Genomic DNA, 23,441 nt, shown 5'->3' with positions numbered 1-23,441 from the left:
ATTATTTTAATAGTAAAAAACACACCTCTGGGTGGAGATTTAAGATACTAATGAGACATGTGATGTATGAACACGCATGTACAGCTGCACATGTGCACCCAGAAGACCATCCAGAACGTGCTTACTAGTAACACCTCTTCCCACCAATATGAATAATCATGTAAGATCCCCATAAAGGGAGCGTCCGCAATACCAGTTTTTGCTGTCTCATCCTTACGGACAGCCTGCCCTGAATTCTCTCTCAGGGTGTACTGTCTACTCTGCACCTCATTTTCAAAATATTCTTTTTTTTTTTTTGCAATAAATTACTCTATGCTGCACATCTTTTGCTGTGTGTCTCTTTTTGTTGTTGTTGTTGTTTTGCTTTGCTGTGTCTCTTGTTTAAATTCTTTTAAACTAAGACGACAAGAACCAAAGTATTACAACAGCCATCAACAGTGATTGAGTTACCTCTTATTTTCTTAGCTACGTCAAGATATTATTGTGATGTTTACCTGAAGTATCCAGTGGCTGAGAGACTGATTCTTTGTTCAAATGCAGCTTCTATCTGCAGAATGGGCATATTTAGTTAAAGCGAAACAAATATACCATCTGCTAGGTGAAAACAGAAATGTCCAATCTAAAATTGACATCTCATAATTGTTGCTGGTGCTTTGCTACCAATAATAGAACTCGTCATCATATTATTTTTCCTTAATTGGCACACTAACAATTTCCTTCTGATTGAGTTTAGAAGTCTGGATTGAACAAACATAAAATAGAATCCTGCTGCACATCCATGAGATAGGGACTCAGTGCACAAGGTATTTGGACTTCATTTCTAAATGTTAGAACTTTACAGTAAGCGTGTGTGTAAATGTGAAATAATTGCTCCAATGAAAAAAGTCACAGGATATTGTAAAGTTGGATTAACTTAGTCATCTCCTTTGAGCCATATTCAAGAGCAAATAGGCCTTTTAGTTTTCCTCCTAACCTACCCAAAACATCGTGCTTGCATGTGTGTGTGTGTATGTGTGTGTGTGTGGCTTAGGAAGGCTCATTCTTTTCCTCTTATTTCTTACTTGAGCAGAGTGTATTCTTCATACACTTCTATTTCTCCTTCTAGTGATTGCTGTTTCCTGTGTGCTTTCTCCATACACACCTGGTATACATCCTGGAGTAGCCTTCTCAACCTTTAGAGATCCTGCCTATTTGCAGAAATCCATTCAACTGGGGAAGAAACAGGGGGCATGCTCCATCACTGTGACACTTAGAGGAACTGTCTCTGTGTGTGATGGCTGTGCATGCTGTGGTGCTGTCTGAGTACTGGTTTACATTGTTTTCTCATTTCAAAGGGAGTGGAACACTTACCCAGTCTTCCCATTTACCTTCCGGATGTTTCTTAATGATGGGCTCAAGGCGTTTCAGAAGGATCTGACAAGCATTCTTGAAGTAGTAAAGAATGGAATCCACATTAGAGAAGAGCCCAGTGGTTCTGGTGGTTACCATTTGTGTGAACAAATGTTCACTGATTAGGTCAGCAAGTGCTATGGAGTGCGTGATCCTGAAAAATCGGTAACACAACTCCTGCCCTTGATAACAGTATCAGTTACTGGAGGTTATTTTTTCCCCTTCTTGGCTCACTTCCTGTGAAAATATGGGTTCAGCTGAATTTCTACTCTCAGAACCTCTTTCTTAGAATATTCAGGTTCTTAACTTCTCTCTCTCTCTCTCTTTTCTTTTGGTTTGTTTTTTTGAGACAGGGTCTCACTCTGTCAACCAGGCTGGAGTGCAGTGGCACCATCTTGGCTCACTGCAACTTCAACATCTGGGCTCAAGCAATCTTTCCACCTCAGTCTCTTGAGTAACTGGGACTCCAGGCACTCACCACCAAGCCTGGCTGATTTTTGTCTTCTTTGTAGAGATAGAGTTTCACCATGTTGACCAGGATGGTCTTGAACTCCTGAGCTCGAGCCATCTGCCTACTTCAGCCTCCCAAAGTGCTAGGATTACAGGCATGAGCCACTGTGCCTGGCCTTTAGCATTTTTTTCCTACATCTTTTGTATATTTGTATATTTCTTTTTTTTTTTTTTTGAGATGGAGTCTTGCTCTGTCGCCAGGCTGGAGTGTAGTGGCACGATCTCAGCTCATTGCAACCTGGGTTCAAGTGATTCCCCTGCCTCAGCCTCCCAAGTAGCTGGGACTACAGGCGCGCAGTACCATGCCTGGCTAATTTTTTGTATTTTAGTAGAGGCGAGGTTTCACCATGTTGGGCAGGATGGTCTCGATTTCCTGACCTCGTGATCTGCCCACCTTGACCTTCCAAAGTGCTGGGATTACGGCGTGAGCCACTGCACCCGACCATTTCTTTTGTATTTTATGGCTATTAAAATAAATGGAATAAACATCCTATTTTCATTAAAATTTGTGCTTTCCAGTCTGTAACAATGACATGCCAGAATCCCCCTGTGTCTGATCTCTCCCTCCATCTGTTCATTCGACCACCATCAAACTACTACAACAAAGTCCTTGGCTTTGGGTATGAAATGAGAAAACAATTAAATTTACTTTATAATGACCTAGACCACAAATTTTCTGATCTTTAACAGAAACCTAAAACTTAATACTCTAGAAGATGGATTGACACTTATTTTGGGCTGACAACTCCCATACACTCTGAGCTGTTCCTCTCTTGTGTTTGACCCTACTCCAAATTAGATCTCATGCATTTGAGGTTTCTTACACATTTGTTCTGAGCAAAAAAGAGTGTTTGCTTTTTGATTCCTTAAGAGGTATCACCACAAAATTAGGACTGATTTGAAAGGGGTTCCTGTTGGTGGTATCATTGCAGCATTCTGGGAAAATATGGCTCACCACAATATCCCAGTGGAAAAGTGAACAGTTTGCAACAGAAACATGACAAATAGATATATTTCAAAAGTACATGCAATCAGATATTTGAATTAAGGAATATGAAGTCATGATTCTATTCTGAGACAGTGAAAATTTAGCAATTTAAAAAAATTCAGTTAAAAAAATAAGTACAAAGAAAAGCTCTAAGTACTCGGTAGAATACCACTGAAGACAATGCTTCTATTGCACCCTGTCTCCTTGGCTGGGGTCTGCCTGCCTATCTGCCTGCAAGCACTTGTTTATGCTGGAGGAAACTTGCACAGCTCTGCATTACTTGGTAGCCAAATTTCTTCTTGCTGTGTCTCCTAGGAACAGAGACTGCCTGTTCACCAAAATCCATTCTCTCCTTCTTCCATAGCAGCTGGACATACGGTTTCCCACTATTCTACATTTCCCAACCTCCGTTGCAGTTAGACATAGCCCGAAACTGGTTCTGCTAATGGACTGTGTGTGGAAATGACTTGCATCACTTCCAGATCTGGCTCAGAGTCTTCCACACCGGCTCCTCCATGCTCACTGGAATGATGACACCCAGGGCAACTTGGCACACCACATGTTGAAGATGGTGGAGCCTCCATCAATTTGGGTGCTCGAATGACCAAACAATGCTCGGGACTGATATGTGTACAAGAAAGGGACTTTTACTGTGTTTGAGCCTTTACATTTTGGGTCTGTCATCTCAATTTAGCCTACTCCAAATACACTCTCCCAACATTTTAATTACCTCAGACTATGTGTAGTGACACAGATGACTTCTCTGAAGTCAACTATTGTACCTGTATCTAGTCATAAAAACCAGGGATGTGGGAGAGGCACACCAAGGAGAGACAGGAAGACTCACCTGCACAGCTCTGCCGTTGACATCTGCACCGATAGACGCTGCTGTAGCAATTGTATTGGGCACTGTTGCTGTGCTCGTTTCACAGATGTGCATATAGGACATGGGTATTTTTAGCTCATGGCTGGCCACCTATGAGAAACATAAATATTTTCAAGTCCAGCAAGGACTTCTATGAAGATTTGAATCATTATTTTTCTTAATAAAAATTATTTGTTATTACATCCATGGTACCCTTTTAAGACTAAAATAATGTACTTTATAAGCATCAAAACTACTTTTTTTGTAAGGCCTCATGCTCATTTTTACAGCGTTTTCTTGGTAATATTCCACAGTGGTTCTTTTCAAATTGAGTCCGTTTAGAATGTTAAGAATTTCCTTTTTTCTAAGTTTTAGATGTGTAGGAAGTAGGCCAAATTGAGATTTTCAGGCACTTATTTGGTTCAGTGGCAGGAAGAAAAAGAGGGATGGAGGGAGAGAGAGAGAGAGAGGAAGAGAGAGAGAGAGAGAAAGAGGGGAGACTGAGATGAGACTGGCTCAGAATTTGGTCTGAAATCTTTCGATATCAGTATCAGATGAACTTGGAATGACCCTGAGGACCTTTTTCTTGCTCTTATCCTCCCCCTCTGTTTTCTATTTGTTTTCCCTTGCTTATATTCCTCCAGTATTTGCTGTTCATTTTTTCTGGTTCTTAAAAATAATTTTTAAAAGATTATTATTATTATTTTAGAGATGGGGTCTCACTGTGTTGTCCAGGCTGATCTTGAACTCCTGGACTCAAGTGATCCTCCTGCTTCAGCCTCCTGAGTAGCTGGGACTACAGGTGCATGCCACTGCACCTGGCTTCTTTTCTGCTCTTTTCCTTCCAGTTTCTCTAGCAAACACATGTGGAGATGAAGATATTTAATCAAGAAATGACAAGGAAAGAGATGAAAAAGAAGAAAGGGAAAGGAAAAAACATTATTTTGGCTTCTCTTGTCTTTTTGTGTTTGCAAAAAACACCTTCTCATGATATCCCGTTCTCAAATGCTAATCTTCTGACTAATGTCATTCAATATGAAGTTTCTCCAGAAAGAAGCAAAATGAAAAAAAGGGATGACTTTGTTGTTTCTGGGTGGTGAAAATCCAAAGGGAATTTGTTGGTTCATATAACTGGGCAGGATAGATGGAGCTAGTGTGAAGTACATGTGTATCTAGGGGCTTTGTGGTCTCGTCAGGGTCTCCTCTCAGCCTCTCACATTTGCTTTTCTTTCTATGATGGCCGGTTCCATCCATGGCACAGAACTGCCTGTGGCAGCCCCTGCCCTATAGTATAGTACCTAAACAGCCACAGGGGAAAGATGGCTCCTTTCTCCCAGCATCTACACGTCAGTCCCAGGAAAGGCTCTGAGTGGCCTTGCTTGAATCATGTGTCCTTTCCCAGAGTCAGTGGGATTCCGGAACCCTGACTGACCAGAGGCGGGTCTTGTGCCTATATCTGCAGCAGGCGTGGGAGTAAGGATGGGGATGGAGCTGAAAGGTACCCAAATTGAGGAGTCTTTCAGGAATATATGGCATGTGAGAGGTACAGTACTCCAAATGAGCTAAGGGGCTGGATAGTCAAAAGCTACAGATGTGCGCTATAGAAATCTAATGCGCTATAGAAATCTAATACATTTGTCACAGGGTTATTTAAAGAATTATTCTTGTTTTTCTCCTGAGATTATATTCGTACTAATTGGTGTGTATGTATGTGTGTTAAATATCTTATAAAAATTGTAGGATGATGGCAGTTGATGAAATACTTGTTCTTACTTGTCAAAATAAAACATTAGCAACCTAATATTGTTGTCTAAAATGTAAACATTAAAACTAGCTGAGAAACTCCTGCTCCTGGTTGCCTGCTTGGATCTCCCACCACAGGGCTCCATGGGTTTCTTAGTGGCGTTTTCACTAATGATCACCCCATCCATGAACCCTGGCCAAGCTCCAGGACTGTCTGCATACACGTGGGATTTCTGCCACCTCAGCCATTCTACATTCTATTTGATATGTAAGAAGCCGTCCAACTAAATAGTCAAGATCTCAGTGTTTGAATACAGGGAGTCAACATTTACCCTAATAGATGAATCCTAACTTTCAACAATGTATATAGAGAATAATGGTTTAATTTTATTTATTTTACCTGTAGCATTTTGGTGTGAATACCTTGTCCCAGTTCATTGCTTCCATGTGTGACCAACACAGACCCATCTGTGTAGATATGAACCAGTGCAGCTGCCTAGTAAAAGAATCCGGAAGGCATAGCTCAGTGCAAGTTAGCATTTGGTGAGGTTCAATATAAAACACAAGGTAGTGAAACACCAGTCTTAGGGAGTGGAGGGGGTCAGAGAAGCAAACTTTCCTGGTGGGATGCTGAAGCTTAGTTCTGTTTTGTGCAAAAAGTCGCTTGTAAAGAACATTCCTCCTGGTTTTCATAGGAGCCCCTTTGGATACCTCAGGAGTTGAGAGCGTTGGTTCCAATTGTTTGAAAGTCACTCTCATGCTTAAAATCACTGGCTGACCATTAAGCTAGTTATTTAAATGTTTTAGGTACTTGCACATAGTGTGTACCAAGTGTGCTCAGCTCCAGATACATAAAGATGAACAAGACATGGCTCTTCTTCAAGCTGCTCACAATGTGGTGGAAAGGCAGGCTGGAGATCAAGTCACTGTAGTGTAGGATGATCAGTGAGATAATGAGAGTGGCATAGGGGGCCCTGGGAGACCTGGGAGGACAGGTGCAACTCCTGTGCTGCTCAGGGATGACAAGTGACAACAGAACAGAATCACAGACCGAAGAAGGCTTTGCCATGGGCAAGGTGGGCAAACCCCCCACAGCCTGTAAGGGAAAGCTCGGCTCCTTATTCCACTAGGAGGTCCTGTCGGATTTGGTCTCTTGTACAGTCCCTGTCGCCCCCTGCCTTGCCTCTGAGTCTGGCCCCACTGCAGCTCCTTTCTGGCCTGTGCTCCTTGCTTCTGTCCAATCTCTTGTCCTGGCCGGCTTCTCCTCCTGTTCCTTACCTGTCTGCACAGCCTGCAGGGCCACGCCCTGCAGTCTATGTTCTGTTAAAACTTCCTCACTTGGCTGGATGCGGCGACTCACGCCTGTACTCATCCCCATCTGGGAAGGATCAATCACCTCCTTCTTTGTACTTCTCCTTACAGGAATACTGGGTTGAAGAATGTCCCTCCCCTGCCCCCTAAAATTCATGTCTGTCTGAAACCTCAACATGGAACTTTATGTAGTCTTTGCAGATGCAACTACTTAAGATAAAATCATACTGGATTGTGCGGGCCCTAAACTCAATGACTGGTGTCCTTGTAAGAGGGCCATGGAAGATGGAGGCAGCAGCGACTGGAGTTATGTTGCCACAAGCCAGGTAATACCAGGAGCCACCAGAAGCTGGAAAAGCAAGGGAAGATCCTTCCCTGAAGCCTTCAGAGGCAGCACGGCCCTGCTGACCCCTTGAGTTTGAACTTCAGGCCTCCAGAATTGTGAGAGAATAAATTTGTTGTTTTTGAATCACCCAGTTTGTGGTACTTTGTAAGAGCAGCCACAGGTAAGGAATCCTGGAGGTAAGAGGCTCTTCTCTGAGTGTTGCCATGGAGAGACACCTGGTCTTAACTCATCTTTGTGTCCCGTAAATACCTCTGAGCAGGTCCTGGCCTTGAGTGGTAGCTCATGCCTGTAATCCCAGCACTTTGGGAGGCCAAGGCGGGTGGATCAGCTGGGGTCAGGAGTTCAAGACCAGCCTGACCAACATGGTGAAACCCCGACTCTACTAAAAAAGCAAAAATTAGCCAGGCGTGGTGGCAGGTGCCTGTAATCCCAGCTACTTGGGAGCCTGAGGCAGGAGAATTGCTTGAACCTGGGAGGCGGAGGTTACAGTGAGCAGAAATTGTGCCATTGTACTCCAGCCTCCAGCCTGGGTGACAAGAGCAAAACTCTGTCTAAAAAAAAAAAAAAAAAATCACAGGGACACTACATCAATGTTTGATAAACTGGACAAAGGGAAAGGTGGTATTTTTTTCTTTCCAGGAGAAGGAGGAACGAAGGCTTCAGCCCATTTGTGTCTCGAGATGCCTGGAGGCCCAGGGTTGGCTCAGAGGGGCTTGGGAGCATCAAGGCTTGTAGCTGCTAATAATAGGATTTACTCACCATGGGTCTTTTGACTCCCACTGAGGACAGAGCTCTCACTGCCAATTTAGAGGGTAGGTGTTCCAGCTTTGTGAGTCATCAGCTGACCTGGAATAACACCCTTCTATTCCTAGCCAGGTGATTCTAGGGTGCCTCAATTTAGAACTCTGTGGAGCAGCTGGAGGATATTCAAATGGAGACTTAAAATCATTGCTTGATTTGAAGGTTTTCTTTGTGATGAGATGAGATGTTTGTTCCCATGGATGATGGTAGAGCGTAGGCTGTGGTTTAGATGCGGTGTGGCCGTACAGGTGAAGGGAAGTGTGTTATAATAAAAAGTAAATATTTGATCTTTGCCCCTGGTTCTTGGTTCAGAGTTCGTAAAGCCTTGGAATTTACTGTTTTATTCTCCTAATGAGACGACTCATGAGGAGGGCTTAGGTAGCTTTAGGATGGGGGCTTGGAGGCGGTGTGCATTGGTCTTTCAGTCCTCCTCCCCATCTTCTTGGGAGGGGGGCTAGAGATTGAGTTCAATCATTAATGGCCAATGCTGTAATCAATCATGCCTGTATAGTGGAACCTCCATAAAAACCCCAAATGATGCAGTCTGGGGGCTCCTGGGTTGGTGAACATGTGGAGGTGCTGGGAGGGTGTGTGCCTGGAGAGGTCAGGGAAGCTCTGTCCCCTTCCCATCCCTTGCCCCAGGCAGCTCTTCCATCTGGCTGTTCCTGAGTCATATCCTTCACAGTAAACTGGTAATAATCATAAGTAAAGTGCTTTCCTGAGTTCCATGAGTCATTCTAGCAAATTATCAAACCTGAATGGGGGTAGTGAAAACCTCCAAATTAGTAGTCGGCCAGGCAGGAGTGTGAGTAGCTAGGGCCCTCCATTTGAAGCTGGTGTCTGAAATAGGGGCGGTCTTGTGGGACTCAGCCCTTGATCTGTGGAGTCTGCACTAACTCTGGTAGTTAGTGTGAGAACAGAATGGTTGGACACCCACTTGGTGTTGGAGTTGGTTTGGAAAAGACAATATTTGGCATCAGAGAGGAAACCACACAGGCAGCTCTCAAGTTTCTCTGATGTCACAGCCTTTGATTGCATCTAGCTTGCAGACATGACAGTTAACCTTCTTGTGCCTGTTTATAGAAGGGGCATGCTGGGCCTGAACATGTGACCCAGAGGTTCAGGGGGTCTCATCCTACCCACCAGAGGAGGAGGAGCCCTGAGAGGTGTGTCTGAGCTGTCCTGGGAGGGGCCTAGTGATGCTCTGGATGACATCCACAGTGTTCCAGGAACCCAGCCAAGTGCTGCTCTACATTCACTATCTTACTGAGTCCTCATCAATCTTAAGACAGAGTTATTGTTATTACTATTATTGTTATTATCACTGGGAAAGCTGAGGCTCAGAGATGTTGAATAATTTAATGTTGCACAGCTGGTCAATACAGAGCCGAGGATTTCTCAGGTCTTCCTGACTTCAGTTGATTAGGGATTTGTTTCCCAAGAAGGAAACAAATACTGCACTGTATTAAAAATGCTTGCAGATAGGGGTGCTGCTCTGGACAGTTCTGTATATTTCTCTTAGGTGTTGGCAGGGAGGAGCTCAATGCTCTAAGAAATGAGATATTTTTCAAAGTCCACAAAAGCTGATTGGGCCAGGAGTGTGTCTAGCATGAAGGTTATTTATCCTATATGCAAGTCTTACCTGATGGTAGCTTGTTGCAGCAAAGCCAACTGAAAACTTCATGGGAATAATAGCAATGCCTTTCTTCTTCCAATAATTCTTCTTATTGAACTCTTCGACTTGCATTCTTCTGCTGTGAAAGGAAGACTTGTCTAGACACTCATTCCAACATCTTATCAGGGTCTCAGGGTTGAATGCTTGTTTGTAGATGGTTTTATCTACATATCTGTAGATATGTTTATCTACATATCTGTAGATATGTTTATCTACATATCTGTAGATATGTTTTGTACATATTTTTCTCTCTAATCTGAAACAGGTGGGAAATTCAGTAGTTATGGTAAGGCAGAAACTGATGGCCAAATAGAGACTTGAAAAACCTCTCCACGAAAGCACAAGCTGTAGAGAAGGGAAGACAGGGTCTGTTTTTTCTTTGAATGGTACATGCTTTTGCAAAAATAGTAGAGGTTATTTTTACCTCTTCATCAATGCACCAGTTAGGGTCTCTCCTTACTAGAAGTGGAAGGTAGCAGGTGGAGACTATTCCATGAAAGGCAGTGGGATGTAGGGGCCTAGGGAGGTAGATTTTTCTTTTCTTTTTATTCTACAAGGTTCAGAGGATGGAGCAGAGCTGGTGGGCAGTACACTAAAGCAAGGATTCATTGTCATAACTGAAGATTTGTCCTGCCAGGGAGGAATAGCATTGCAAATAATAGCAGATCCCCTCTAAGTCTTTTAATTGCCTTTGGAATGTATGGGTAAATCTTTTAAGCAGTTTCTTTGGGCCTCGTGTGGTGGCTGACACCTGTAATCCTAGCACTTTGGGAGACCGAGGCAGGAGGATCACTTAAGCTCAGGAGTTCAAGACCAGCCTGGGCAACGTAGTGAGACCTCATCTCTAAAAGAAAGAAAGAAAAAAAAAAACGGCTTATTTGAATAAGGTGTGTTTTATGTTATATGTCCTGGAAACTTGCAACACTTGACAAAGGAGAGCCTGCTGAGATTTGCCTAGAAGTTTTTTTTAAATCATCTCCATTTTATTCTAATCACAGTAAAAGAATTATTATTATTGGCAACAACGTTGGAATAATACTATCCAGTTTATAAAACAAATATTGTAATGAATGTTAAATTATTTGATTCTTGCAGGAACTCTGTGAGGTGAGTCATTTATAGATAAGGAAACTGAACTACACAGACATTGACACTCTTGCTCATGCTGTTCTACTTGCCTAGATCACCTTTCCAACATCTGTGCCAATTATTCTTCAAGGCCTATCTCAAGTGCCATCTTCTCCAGAAAGTCCTTCCTGGTTCCCCTCTCCCCATGCCAACGTGATGCCTTCCTTCTCTGGTACCCGTGGAACACTGTACGTGACTTCTCTTAGGATAACTACTGCCTTCCTTGTACAAAATATTAGGTGTTCTCTTGTTTGTAGGAAGTACCCCGACAATCACAAACCTGGAATTCCTGTTGAATTTAGGGACAAAGCAGTTCTAGGGACAATACATAGGAGAGTTCTTGCTGGAGTAGGGGGTCTATATTGGGGAAACAGGGGACAGAAATGGAAAAGGTAGGGTGGGCTCTGATTGGAATGTGTGGGGAGTGGAAGCAAGTTATTGACCATGATCTCAATTCCAGAAGCTGCCTCCCTCTAGTCCAGCATACTGTACATCCTGTGCACCTTCTGGTCTATTGTGAAAAACAGTATTTTCAGAGGGTGTTCTTCTGGCAGTATTTCTTAAAAGTTTTCAAGTGCACCAGTAATTCCACTTCTGTAAATTTATCCTAAAGATAAATAAGGCAAACATATACCTGGGTACATATGTACCAAGATGTTTATTGTAACATCATTTTAATGGCCAAAAATGGTAACAGCCAGAATGTATATTAATAGTGGAGTGGTTAAATAAGTTATGGTACGTGCACATTACATAGTACTATTCAGTCATGAAAAAGAATGAAGCAGACCATTCTACTGACATAGAAAGATGGCCATGGCATACTGTCCTGTAGGAGAAGGAAGGGGCAGAGTAATATGTATGCTATGGTCCCATTCTGGTAAATAACCATACGTGTGCACATATATGTTATATGTCAATGTTTAGGTATGTGTGTATGAATACAAATGGGTGGCCAAAGATAGAAAAAGGGGTAGAACAATAAACATGGAATTGTTAACAATGATTACCCTTGACCAAGAGGGATGGGGGTGGAAAAAGGGGCATTCCCTTTTTTTGATTACTTCGGTGTGGTTTGAATTTTAAGTAGAGTAATTATTTTGGTACAAATGAAAAAAAAGAGATGTTTGCGTAAGTAAGGAAGGAGGAAGATAGGGTGAGGTGAGTTTTTTTAGGTAGCTTTTAATTCACTTTGAATTCTGAGCCAGGGCTAATTCATGTGGTTCTTCTAGTGTGTTTCCTTGGGTCAAAGAAGCTGGGTTTCCCAGTCTGGTTCATCAGCAACTTTGGTTATGGCCTTTGTTGCAACCTTACCTTTTCTGGTGGAAGGCCACATTTGGCTGCCACAGCTGTGATGCAAGATTCTGTTACTAGGGCTCCTTGTGGGAAGCCAAATCCACGAAAGGCCGTATTGGATGGTAAATTTGTCATGCATGCACGGCCCTGGAACCTGAACAGGTTGCGAATTTTATATGCATTTTCCAGCTTTAGTATTAGAAATTCTGTTACCTAAAAAGGGATATTCACATTTATCATCACTTTTTTTTTCTTTTCTCTGAAAGTCAAGTACAGAGTCAAACGGCTTGTAGAATTTAACTACATTAGGAAATAAACTTCATAAAGAGTCATCTAGAAATTTGGCATTCTACTCATGGTCAAGCACGTTGCTGCTTTCTGGTGTACGTACCAGCTCAGAGTCATCCAGCGTGCATCCTCCGTTAATGTAGCACTCAATGTCTAGAGCTTTGATCCGCCCGTTGTTCATGAATCCTACCTGTCACCAAATGATAGTTATTTACTGAGATGTTCAAAATTTGCATGCCAATTGTGAGACATAGCCCAGTTCCCCCACAGGGCAGGACAGAGGCCAGACTCAGCTCCCTGTTTGCTTTATGGTGTACCATGCCTTGCTTGACTGATGGAGACTTCTTCTGAGCTGAATTTTGCTGAGCTCTTTCCTTCCAACATGTGATTTTCTGGCTTCACAGTCAGCATGGGATTCTAAAGACTTTGCTTGTCTCCTGGACTATAATTGCCACCCTCTTCATCCTTATTCTTGGAAGATTCCCCTTCATTTTTTTACTGACTTTCTTTCTAATTTAGTGTGTGGTTTCCTCCCTGGTGAAAAAGTCTCTGGAATTCCAGAATGTGTTGGAATGAATCACAGTGTATCCTGTTATGGGAAAGCCTCTGAAGCTGAGGTCCCTGAATGGATGCATGGGGACTGCTCTCATTTCACTAGGTGGTGAAGATGTTTGTATATGCTTACCTGACCTAACAAACCTGAGCTCGTGCTGTTGTTACTGTTTGGGAAGAGCTTAAGGCAGCTTGCATTCTTTCAGTGTTGCCACTCCCCTCCACCCATCCAGACCATTTTGTCTATACAGTCCACATTAAAAAGAAAAGAAAAATCCCCACTCCCTACTGTAGTTCTACCAAACGAGGATTGATCCAGGTCCCTTTGCCTTTCTGAAAGCAGGGATAAATACAACTGAAGGATCCACACGACTATATATATAACTATAGGGTTAACATTAGACTTTGACTGAAGTTTACCTTTGACTTTCATGAAGAAAGGACTGCTAAGCAAAATAGTACTATAAATAAGGTAGCAGAATCCTTAAACTATTTCATATAAACTTTTCAAAAATTTGGAAGAAACTATTTAAACATAAACACATGTTATCCTAATTTACAAATAGTTCTGAATAACCAAGCAAAACTTTGTTAGCTGTGTCTGAAGGATTATATATGTGTGTGTGTATATATATATATATGTGTGTATATATATATATATATGTATATATGAAGTGAAATTGTTTATATATATTATATTGGAATTGAAATTGTTTCTTAAAAAATAAAATAAAACTTGGACTTTTTTTTTGAGACAGAGTCTTGCTCTCTCGCCCAGGCTATAGTGCAGTGGTACAATCTTGGCTCACTGCAACCTCTGCCTCTTGGGTTCAAGCCATTCTCCTTCCTCAGCCTCCCAAGTATCTGAGACTACAGGTGCATGCCACCACGCCCAGTTATTTTTTTGTATTTTTAATAGAGATGGGGTTTCACTATGTTGGCCAGGCTGGTCTCGAACTCCTGACCTTAGGGGATCCACCCGCCTCAGCTTCCGAAAGTGCTGGGATTACAGGTGTGAGCCACCACACCCAGCCAAAATATAAAATAAAACTTGGATTTTTCAAAAAATCTATTTCCCTCTTTTATACTTTATATTACTATAATTACCAAAATATTAACAGTCTAGAATCTTCTTAACAAGTATTAGTACTAAAAGAATCTCATAACTTTGATAAGAGCACAGCCATCACCACAACAGCAACTGCTCCAATCTTAGCAGTGTGTCTCTACATTGCTCTCGGTCCTAGAAGACAATAATAGCTGTGACTATTAATATCTGTGCATTTGAAAGCAAATAAACAGTTGAATCGGCCAACTATTAGAGAGGATCTCCCTCTCTAATTATAAAAATTATTAATGCCAATGGAAGAAATAAAATTGTTCTGTGCTATAGAAAACTGTGGCTTTAGTAATACAGGGAAGATAATCTAAGACAATGACAAAATCAGATAGGAAATCTAACTATGTATATGCTACAAGCAATTCCCACGTAAAGTATGTTCGATACGACTTAGATTACATTAGAATGATCCTAACAGCTCAATGACAAATTTGAAAAGTAGTATTGTAAGCTCGAGGCCAGCAAGTATTTTTAAGATGTTTATATTATAGTTATATAAAAATGCAGTAAATGCAGTCTGAAACAATTTTAAATTCACTACTTACTGTATTATTTTTTCCTACATGCAAAGAGCTTTTGTGACAGTATCATAGCCACTTGGTAAAAACACTTCTAAAAAATGATTTTGCAGTTAAAATGGTCAATGGTCAAATTGTCTCCAAACATTTCTACTGAAAAATATTTGTATAGTCAAGAAGGTTTGGCATAGCAATGTTTGTACCTTCTATCAGTGTTTGTCTGTTTGTTTTTGAGGAACCACTAATGTAAATCCTTATTCCTTCAAGGAGTGTTTTGATCATTATTTGAAATTGTATTTTTATCATTAAACTTCTTCACAATTATTTACTAGAATTATTAAAAGTTCCTCATAAAATGTTATGAATATTCAAATACACAGCATCCTCATTTAATATTTTAGGTGCTAAGTTTGTTTTTAGAATTTAGCAAAATCAAAATGATAGAAAAGAACAAAGCCATTCAGATAAAATCAGATTATCTATTTATTTATTTATTTATTTATTTATTTATTTATTTATTTATGTCTGAGACAGGGTCTCACTCTGTCGCCCAGGCTGGAGTGCAGTGGTGCAATCTTGGCTCACTATAGCCTCCACCTCCTGGGCTCAAGGGATCCACACACCTCAGCCTCCCAAGTAGCTGGGAGTACAGGCATGTGGCACCATACCCAGCTAATTTTTGTATTTTTTTTAGAGATAGGGTCTCCCCATGTTGCCCAGGCTGGTTTTGGAACTCCTGGGCTCAAGCTATTTGCCCGCCTTGGCCTCCCAAAGTGGTAGGATTACAGGTGTGAGCCACAGTGCCTAGCCAAAATGAGATATTTTAATAATTAATCTTTAATACTCACTTTATATTTTCCAAATAATGGATGCCTTCCTCCAGTTATTAGCATATCATCTTCACGATCAAGGATGAGACGAATGGGGTGACCAGTTCTAAAGAAAATAAATCTTAGGTTCTCCACCCATCCCATCCATCCATCCATCCATCTTCTCGTTCACCTATCTACTCATATTTATCCATCCCCTCATTTAACTATCTGCCCACCCATCAATGTATCTGCCTATTATCCATCCATCCACTATCCATTCTCCCACTCTTTATTCAACCATCCATCCATTCATTTATCCCATATAAATGTATTAATATCATACAATATGCTAGACACTAACGTGAATTATTAATATATGACTAAATCTTCATTGTCTCTGTGGTCTATAACTCAATGGTTGGAGATCTTGTTAAAAGTATTAATGTCACATTCGGTTAAGTTGAATTCTATAGCTTCAAGTTTGACCTTCACCCAGATCCAGATATTTGCATTATCTCCACCACTATTTACAAAAGAGAAAGAATGTGAACAGATAAATGCAAACTTAACAACCCTACTGGGAAAACAAGGCCAAACACTCATCCTAGGATGTCTGGGTTAGCGTCTCCATTCTCATCCGTGAAGGCTATGCTGGCCAAGTTGGGCTCTCATTCAGGGAGGAGCCTCAGCTTTTCTCCATCTCCAGAGCAGAGGCTTCTAGACTTTGGAGTGCTGAAGAATCCTCTGGCACGCTGGTGAAAATGCATATTCCTGGGCCTTTGTACTAGGATTTGGATTCAGTGGGTCAGGGAGGGGCTTTAGAATGCATTTTTCTGAGTGATATTGATTCAGGTGTCTTCAGGCAAATGTTGAAAATCACTATTCTAGTGCAGGGTTTCCTGGTGTTCCCTAATTGTGAGGACAATCTGGAACATCAGGGAAATGCAGTTTCCAGGTCCATCCCCTGCTAATTCTGATTCAGTGGTGCTGGGATGGGGAGGCAGGACTTTCTTTTTTGAGACGGGGTCTTGCTCTGCCACTCAGGCTGGAGTGCAGTGGTATGAACACGGCTCACTGCAGCCTGATCTCCTGGGCTCAAGCAATCCTCCTGCCTTAGCCTCCTGAGTAGCTGGGACCACAGGCACGTGCTACTGTGCTCAGCTATTTTTATTTTATTCTATTTTAAATCTTTGTAGAGATGAGGATTTCACCATGTTTCCCAGGCTCATCTTGAACTCCTGGGCTCAGGTGATTTTCCTGCCTCAGCCTCCCAAAGTGCTGAGATTATAGGCATGAGCCACCATGCCCAGCTGAGGCAGGAATTTCTATGACATCAGGCAACTCTTACTTACTATTAGGTTTGGGAACATTACTCTGGGGATCATTTAATGCATGGCCCTTGGGTACCAAGGTAGAGTTGTATCTTAAGGCACTGGTTGCCACACTTGGCTGCACAGTGGAACCACTGAGGAAGTTTTAAAATATACGGATGCCTGGGTCAGTATGGGGCAGCCTGGGCACTGGTATTTAAATGCTGCCCAGATGATTCTAACGTGCAGTCGTGTTTGAGAAGTCTTAAAGCCACAACGCCTGGGGGGAATTCAATGAACTGATTATCTTGTGCTGAATCCCCAGTGGGTGTGAGTGGAGTGGATTTAATTATGGAAAGAATTGGAGATGGGATTCAGATCCTGCTTTTTCCCACTTCTCACTGAGGACTGAGACATATGTCTGAGTGTTTCAGGACCTAGCTCTGAACTACAAGAGTTGTCAAATGAAGCAGGGCCTGTAAACTTTGCATGCCCTCTGGGGCTCTGACAGAATACTTAGCCACAGAAAATGAACCATTAACAGAAAAAGCAGCACCAACTAAATACAAATCTGAGGCATGAACAGCAAAGGAGTGAGCCTTCCGCTGAGGTCAGCCTGGGAGCTGTCTTTGAGGATGAGTCATCTGTCCATTGAGCAGACTCTGAGGACGCAGCCCTTCCCAGGTGCAGGGAGGCAGAGGATGAAGAGCCTTTCTTTCCTTACCTCACCCTGTTCTTGGTCTGAGAGCAGGAAAGAAGAGTCAGGGAGCAGCCTCCCCTAGCACTCCACTTGGGCAGGGTGACTTGCCCCACCCCTCAACGGCTCACTTTCCCTGAAGCTCAGGAGGTATTCAGCTAATAGTACCACTGCTCCTTTCAATAGCATGTCAGCTATTCAAAGTCCTGTGTACATTTGACTTTTGCAATAACTCTAAAAGTGTGGGAGGGTAGGTATGATTATTTACATTTTTTAAAGAAACAGACAGGAGGCTGAATTGCCCAAGGACACACACATGGTTATGATGGCAGCCCAGATGACTGTCAGCCACTGATTTGCCCTCAGCTCTGTGCATTTGATGCCATTCTGTATCCCTAAGCATCCCCAACCATACTTACTTGATAGCACCCACAGCTGCAATAGCCCCGAATACAGCTGGCTTTCCTACCTTCCCTCCAAAACCTCCACCCACTCGTTTTACATGACAGGTGATCCTGTTGATGGGGATGTTTAAAGTAGAGGACACTGTTTTCTGTAAAAGTGAGATAACAAGAAGGTTTATAAGAGTGAAATGGAAAAGAAGCTTTTTGTTTCTTGAAACAGCATCCCAGCAGAATTCATTCACATCTACCATTGGTAAAAAAAATGGAGATAGTCTGAATCTGTCTGGTGGGGCTCTGTTTAGCTCGTAAACACCGTTGGTCCGCACAGAGCAGCCCTTCTAGCAGAAAAATGGTATTTTCCAGAAGGAAAACTGTCAGAGCCCTGGATTCCTGTGAGAAGCTGGGTTCCTAGTCTAAAGTCCCAAGGAGATGAAAGCCGGCGAACTCCTGACAACCTACCAAGGAGATGATGTGTTTGCAGCTAAACCTAGAGCACTTTGTGACTGGGGAAATGAAAATGTACTATAAAGTGATGTGTTGACTCCAAAGGTTATCTGTGATGATTATTTTAGAGAAAAATCAAGTACAGAAATAGTTTAGTGATGCCATCTCATCACAGAGCTCATCTAAGCATGATGCAAATGAACGTACTCTTGAAACCTAAAATTACTGTGACTATTTTTTTATTTACTTGAAAAGACCAAAAAAAAAAAAAAAGGTTCTGAGGTCTTGGCTGCATTATTGATGTCTGATGTCTAATGCTTGGATTCCAGGTTTCTGCAGGTAAAATGGCCAGTGATTGTGAGGCTGTGGGATCGACTGTGATCATGGAATTAGGAAGGTGGGGACGTGGGTATTATCCTGGACCTCACCTGCACGTGGGCTGGGTCCTGTGTGGACACATAAATGTCCAGTTCTTTGTCCTCTGTCTTTGGAATAACAAGCACTCTTTGTGTTTCCATGTAAAAATGTTCCTGTCCTCCAACATGGACCTCTCCTGTTAAGCATAAGCACAGAACAACTCCTAAGGTGTGTGCTGGTGGGAAGCCACCGTCTTGGAGAGCCACCGTCTTGGAGAATTCAAAAGCCAGTAAGATGTGGACTGGCTGGCCTGGATTTTTTTTTTTTTTGAGGTGGAGTCTCGCTCTGTCACCCATGCTGGAGTGTAGCAGCGCGATCTCGGCTCACTGCAACCTCCGCCCCCCAGGCTCAAGCGATTCTCCTGCCTCAGCCTCCCAAGTAGCTGGGATTACAGCTCCTGCCACCATGACTGGCTAATTTTTGTATTTTTAGCAGAGATGGGGTTTCACCATGTTGGCCAAGTTGGTCTCGAACTCCTGACCTCAGGTGATTCACCTGCCTCGGCCTCCCAAAGTGCTGGGATTACAGGTGTGAGTCACCGTGCCCTGCCTGGCTGGCCTGGATTTATCCTGACGAAGGAACCAGGCATTTGTCCTGTGGCAATCTGTTTCAGAGACAATAGTTCTGGATCACAAATTAAAAGTGCCAAGTTTTGTTCCTTACTCTGCCCAAACCAAAATCTTAGAGATTTTCTTTTATTTATGCTATTGCTCCCTACCCACCAACGCCAAAACTGCACATACACACACACACACACACACACACACACACACACAATTTGAAAGGAAGAGATGTAAGAGAAATTTGGCAAAGCACCAAGACTTTAGAGGCTGGACTTTCTGAGGGGAAATCATACACTTTTGATGGTTGCTTCAGAATAGAATCAGGCAGAGTCTATTAAGTATCCCTGGGAGCTCACCTTCAACAATTTGGTCGACTTTTTCAAAGGCCTCCTCAACGTTTCCTTTTTCAAGTTTTTTTTTCACGGCACAGGAATGAATTGTGTTTTATGGCATCCTAAATTGCAGAAAAACAAAAAAGCATAAAAGCCAGTTCTTCCGACTTTTCCTTCCACTGTTAGTTTTTTCTTAAAAGCCAGTATGCTCTGGAAAATCACTGTCTCCCGGGACAGATGAAAGGTGTCAAACAAGCAAGGGAGAATTAGAGCGGTAGGCTGGCTGCAGAGATGGGAAGTCCAAGGAAAGGTCTTCTAGATTTGCAGAGAAAACCAGCAAGAAGGATTAGCGAAACCTTCAGAAGGAAGCTACGTTCATAACTGAGGGCTGGGGACACTATGATGATCCCGGACGATGAATACTAATTTCTTATTTAAATGTGACTCTCCAGGGAACATGAGATAAGTCAAATGTGCATGATGGGTGAGGTTTGGGAATCTGCCTTTTTTTTTTCGTTTACCTTTTCCTTGAAGAAAAATGCTTGTGTTAGACTACTTAGGTAGCTCAGGTACAAGAACCTCTCACTCAGGGATCTGAAAAATACTGAGGCTGTCTTGAGAGGGAAGACACAAGTTATTACACATCTCTGGGGCAGAAAAGCCCAGTACACATTGTATTAGGTTGGTGCAATAGCAATTGTAGTTTTTGCTATAAAAGTTTGCAATTGCTTTTGCACCAACCTAATAGGAAGTTTGTTCCTTTCTTTGAGTATTTGGCATCATCTCATAAGGGCTTTTCTAGCTCTTTGTTCTATGTTTTTTTTTTCTTCCCCCTGACAATAACATGAACTGACTTACAAATAAAGACTGGTTCTGTGGACTGACCTACTGACAGCGGATCCTTGTTTAGCCTTTAGAACCAAGGTATTTTTTCATACTTCTGAATGACACCTGTCTCCTGCCTTCCTAGGCTCTGATGGCCTCAGATGCCATAGCCTTTCTTGCTGATGATGCTCCTGGGAGCAGCTAATATTGATGGAGAGCTTGCTTTGTGCTAAGCACTGTGCAATAACAGCGTATGTACTTGTATCCTTACGTTCATTCTGTTATGATCTCTGTTTCCTAGATGAGGAAACTGGGCTTAGAGAGGTTAAAAGAACTTTCTCAAAGTCACACTGTAAATAAGTGATAAAGGAAGTGTTCAAGCCCAGGCTAAGTTTTTAAAAACATACTATCTAATGATGAACACTTGATTTTTTCAAAGCAGCAGACAAGGAACAATATAGCTGAATTTTTTCATTTTCTGTTATACTAAGATCTCAGAAGCCATCCTGGTACATGTGAAAGTATGTTTATTGCCATACTGTAAATGTGTCATAAGACAGCATAATCTCTTTTTTTTTTTTTTTAGATGGAGTCTTGCTCTTTCACCCAGGCTGGAGTGCAGTGGTGTGATCTCGACTCACAGCAACTCCGCCTCCTGGGCTCAAGTGGTTCTCCTGCCTCGGCCTCCCCAGAGGCTGGGATTACAGGCATGCATCACCACACCTGGCTAATTTTCGTATTTTTAGTAGAGACGGGGTTTCACCATGTTGGCCAGGCTGATCTCAAACTCCTGACCTCAAGTGATCCACCTGCTTCAGCCTCCCAAGGTGCTGGGATTACAGGCATGAGCCACTATGCCCAACCAAGACAGTATAATATTGTTATAACATAGGCTATATTGGGTGAGTGCTAACCATGTGCCAGGTACTGTTCTAAGTGCTTTACACCTGTTAACTCATTTAATTTTATGACAAACTAATGAGATACGTATTATTACTACCTCCATTTTACAGATGAGGAAACCATGGCACAGAGAGGTTAAATAACTTGCCTAAGGTCACACAGCTAGTAAGTGGTGCAGCCACTATTCAAATCTGGCAGTTTGGTTCTAGGATCTGTGTTTGTAACCATGACCCTATGTTGCCTCTGATCTATAAAGTCATATAAATAAATGAATAGATGGATGAAGCACTATTGGTATTATATATATGACAATTTTATGACTTGTGGAGGATTTTGTTTTGATGACTCTGGACAGTCTTGTTCGGAGGGAACTCTAAATCCCTACCCATTCTGAATTCTAGAATAGTTCGTGGGTGTGTCCTCTGGGTGCCATTTCCCCCTTGAGGAAAGTGGGGTTAGAAGGGCAATTTCAAAAACCCTTATTAGGATCCTAGTTCAACCCAAGGAAGAGGAATGAGCCAAGAAAAATGGCCTGGATTCTTGCAAACTTGGCAAATGGGAATTTGGAACAAAGTTGATTTGGTTTAGGAAGATCAAGAAACTTTTTTTTAAAAAAACACTTTAAATATTGAGCAATTTGTACCATTTAGTTACATTTTAAAATGTCCCAATGGTTCATGAAAGCCTCTGGACACATTTGATGTTCTGTCACAAGCACACAAACAAGTAAGCTTTTCTCAAGTCATTGACTCTGAACCTGTCCCTCACTGAATCAGAACCTGAAAACCCCAGTCCACACCTGAATTGTCTGTCCTCACTCCGTTATCTTCCCCGAAATACCATTTGAATATCATTATCTAGACTCAGAAACGAGAGTGAAGTTTCTGTGGAATTCCACCATGAAAGTTCCACTGCATTTGGGCTCTACCTTGAAAACATTACTGTTCCCAGTATGCATCCTCACCTTCCTCCTCAAGTCATAGAGTCTCCGATCTGTAGTGGTTTTCTGGCCACCTGGAATAAAATCCACATTTCCCAGCTCCCCTTGCAGTTAGGTGTGGCATGCGACCATGTTCCAAACAAAGAGATGGAGGAAGGCATGTGCAATGTACATGCCTCCCTTTAAGGACTGGGAAGTGTCCTTAAAGGGAGGGGGCACACCCTTCTTCATCACCTTATTTTCTCAGCTGTCTGGAATGTGGATGTAACAGCTAGAGCTTCCGTGGCCATTGTGGACCAAATGTGCCCTCCAGGAAGCAATGCATGATGGAGTGACTAGATATAAGAAGGCTGGATCCTAAACACACAGAATGCCATAGAAGTCCTGGACTGCCCACTTCTAGACTTTTTGAATGTGAGAAACTTCTGTCTTTTCCACTCCTTGGAACCAAAGATAATTTCAGCTCATGCAAGTAATGTTTTCCAAAGAAAGTTGATTTTTCCAGAGCAAACCAGTGGCAAGGAAAAACAATTAGATCCTTCATTAAGATTTTTACAAAGGTACTTTTAATTCTACAACCGTAGGGAGAGACCGGCCAGCCCTGTTTACCTTGATCGTGAAGATTACAGGTTCCAGATCTTCATAGGTGAGCTTTATCTTTTCAGCTGCTCGTTTTGCCTGTACGTCTGTTTCTGCAACCACAGCACAGATGATCTGGCCCACACAGACTACCTGTGGAAAGTACACACATGAAGCAGATACAAAATTCTGGGTGGGAATAGGCTTAGTTCAACCTTAGCAGTGGCTGCTGTCTTAGATGTCGCTGTTTAGCAATAGTAACCACATTGGAGTCGCATTTGACTACATCTGCTTGGCTAAAAATTAAAAAAAATATATTTTTTGAGACAGAGTCTCGTTCTGTTGCCCAGGCTGGAGTGCAGTGGTGCCATCTTGGCTCACTGCAGCCTCTGCCTTCCAGGTTCAAATGATTCTCTTGCCTCATCCTCCTGAGTAGCTGGGATTACAGGTGCGTGCCACCACGCCCGGCTAATTTTTGTATTTTTAGTAGAGATGGGATTTCATCATGTTGGCCAGGCTGGTCTTGAACTCCTGGACTCAACTGATCCATCCACCTCAGCCTCCCAAAGTGCTGGGATTACAGGCGTGAGCCACCACGCTTGGCTAAAAAATATGTTTAATGAAAAAATAATTTAAATAATACAGACAGTTCCATTGGCCATGTAACTCAGTGAACGTAAGGCTC

At 42.3% G+C, this 23,441-nt stretch overlaps 2 pseudogenes across 2 annotated transcripts in view; both read right to left on the bottom strand.

Annotated features, from left to right (window-relative positions):
* The window catches only part of AOX3P-AOX2P (AOX3P-AOX2P readthrough, transcribed pseudogene), a 99,193-nt pseudogene that overhangs the window by 20,491 nt on the left and 55,261 nt on the right, over nucleotides 1-23,441 (bottom strand). For both annotated transcript variants that reach the window (NR_135011.1, NR_135012.1), the window contains 12 exons: nucleotides 22,787-22,909; nucleotides 19,534-19,631; nucleotides 18,626-18,750; nucleotides 17,769-17,902; nucleotides 15,379-15,466; nucleotides 12,444-12,530; nucleotides 12,071-12,265; nucleotides 9,596-9,824; nucleotides 5,896-5,991; nucleotides 3,735-3,855; nucleotides 1,351-1,425; nucleotides 495-547 (listed from right to left, as the gene is read on the bottom strand). The product of NR_135011.1 is annotated as an AOX3P-AOX2P readthrough, transcribed pseudogene, transcript variant B (transcript). The remainder of the gene's footprint in view (nucleotides 1-494; nucleotides 548-1,350; nucleotides 1,426-3,734; nucleotides 3,856-5,895; nucleotides 5,992-9,595; nucleotides 9,825-12,070; nucleotides 12,266-12,443; nucleotides 12,531-15,378; nucleotides 15,467-17,768; nucleotides 17,903-18,625; nucleotides 18,751-19,533; nucleotides 19,632-22,786; nucleotides 22,910-23,441) is intronic.
* Nucleotides 1-23,441, bottom strand: part of AOX2P (aldehyde oxidase 2, pseudogene) — a 52,998-nt pseudogene that overhangs the window by 17,212 nt on the left and 12,345 nt on the right.

The sequence above is a fragment of the Homo sapiens genome, chromosome 2 (assembly GCF_000001405.40).
Source record: "Homo sapiens chromosome 2, GRCh38.p14 Primary Assembly".
NCBI lineage: Eukaryota > Metazoa > Chordata > Mammalia > Primates > Hominidae > Homo > Homo sapiens.
The sequence above is the reverse complement of the archived record's forward strand: the minus strand, read 5'-3'. Positions and strand labels throughout refer to the sequence as shown.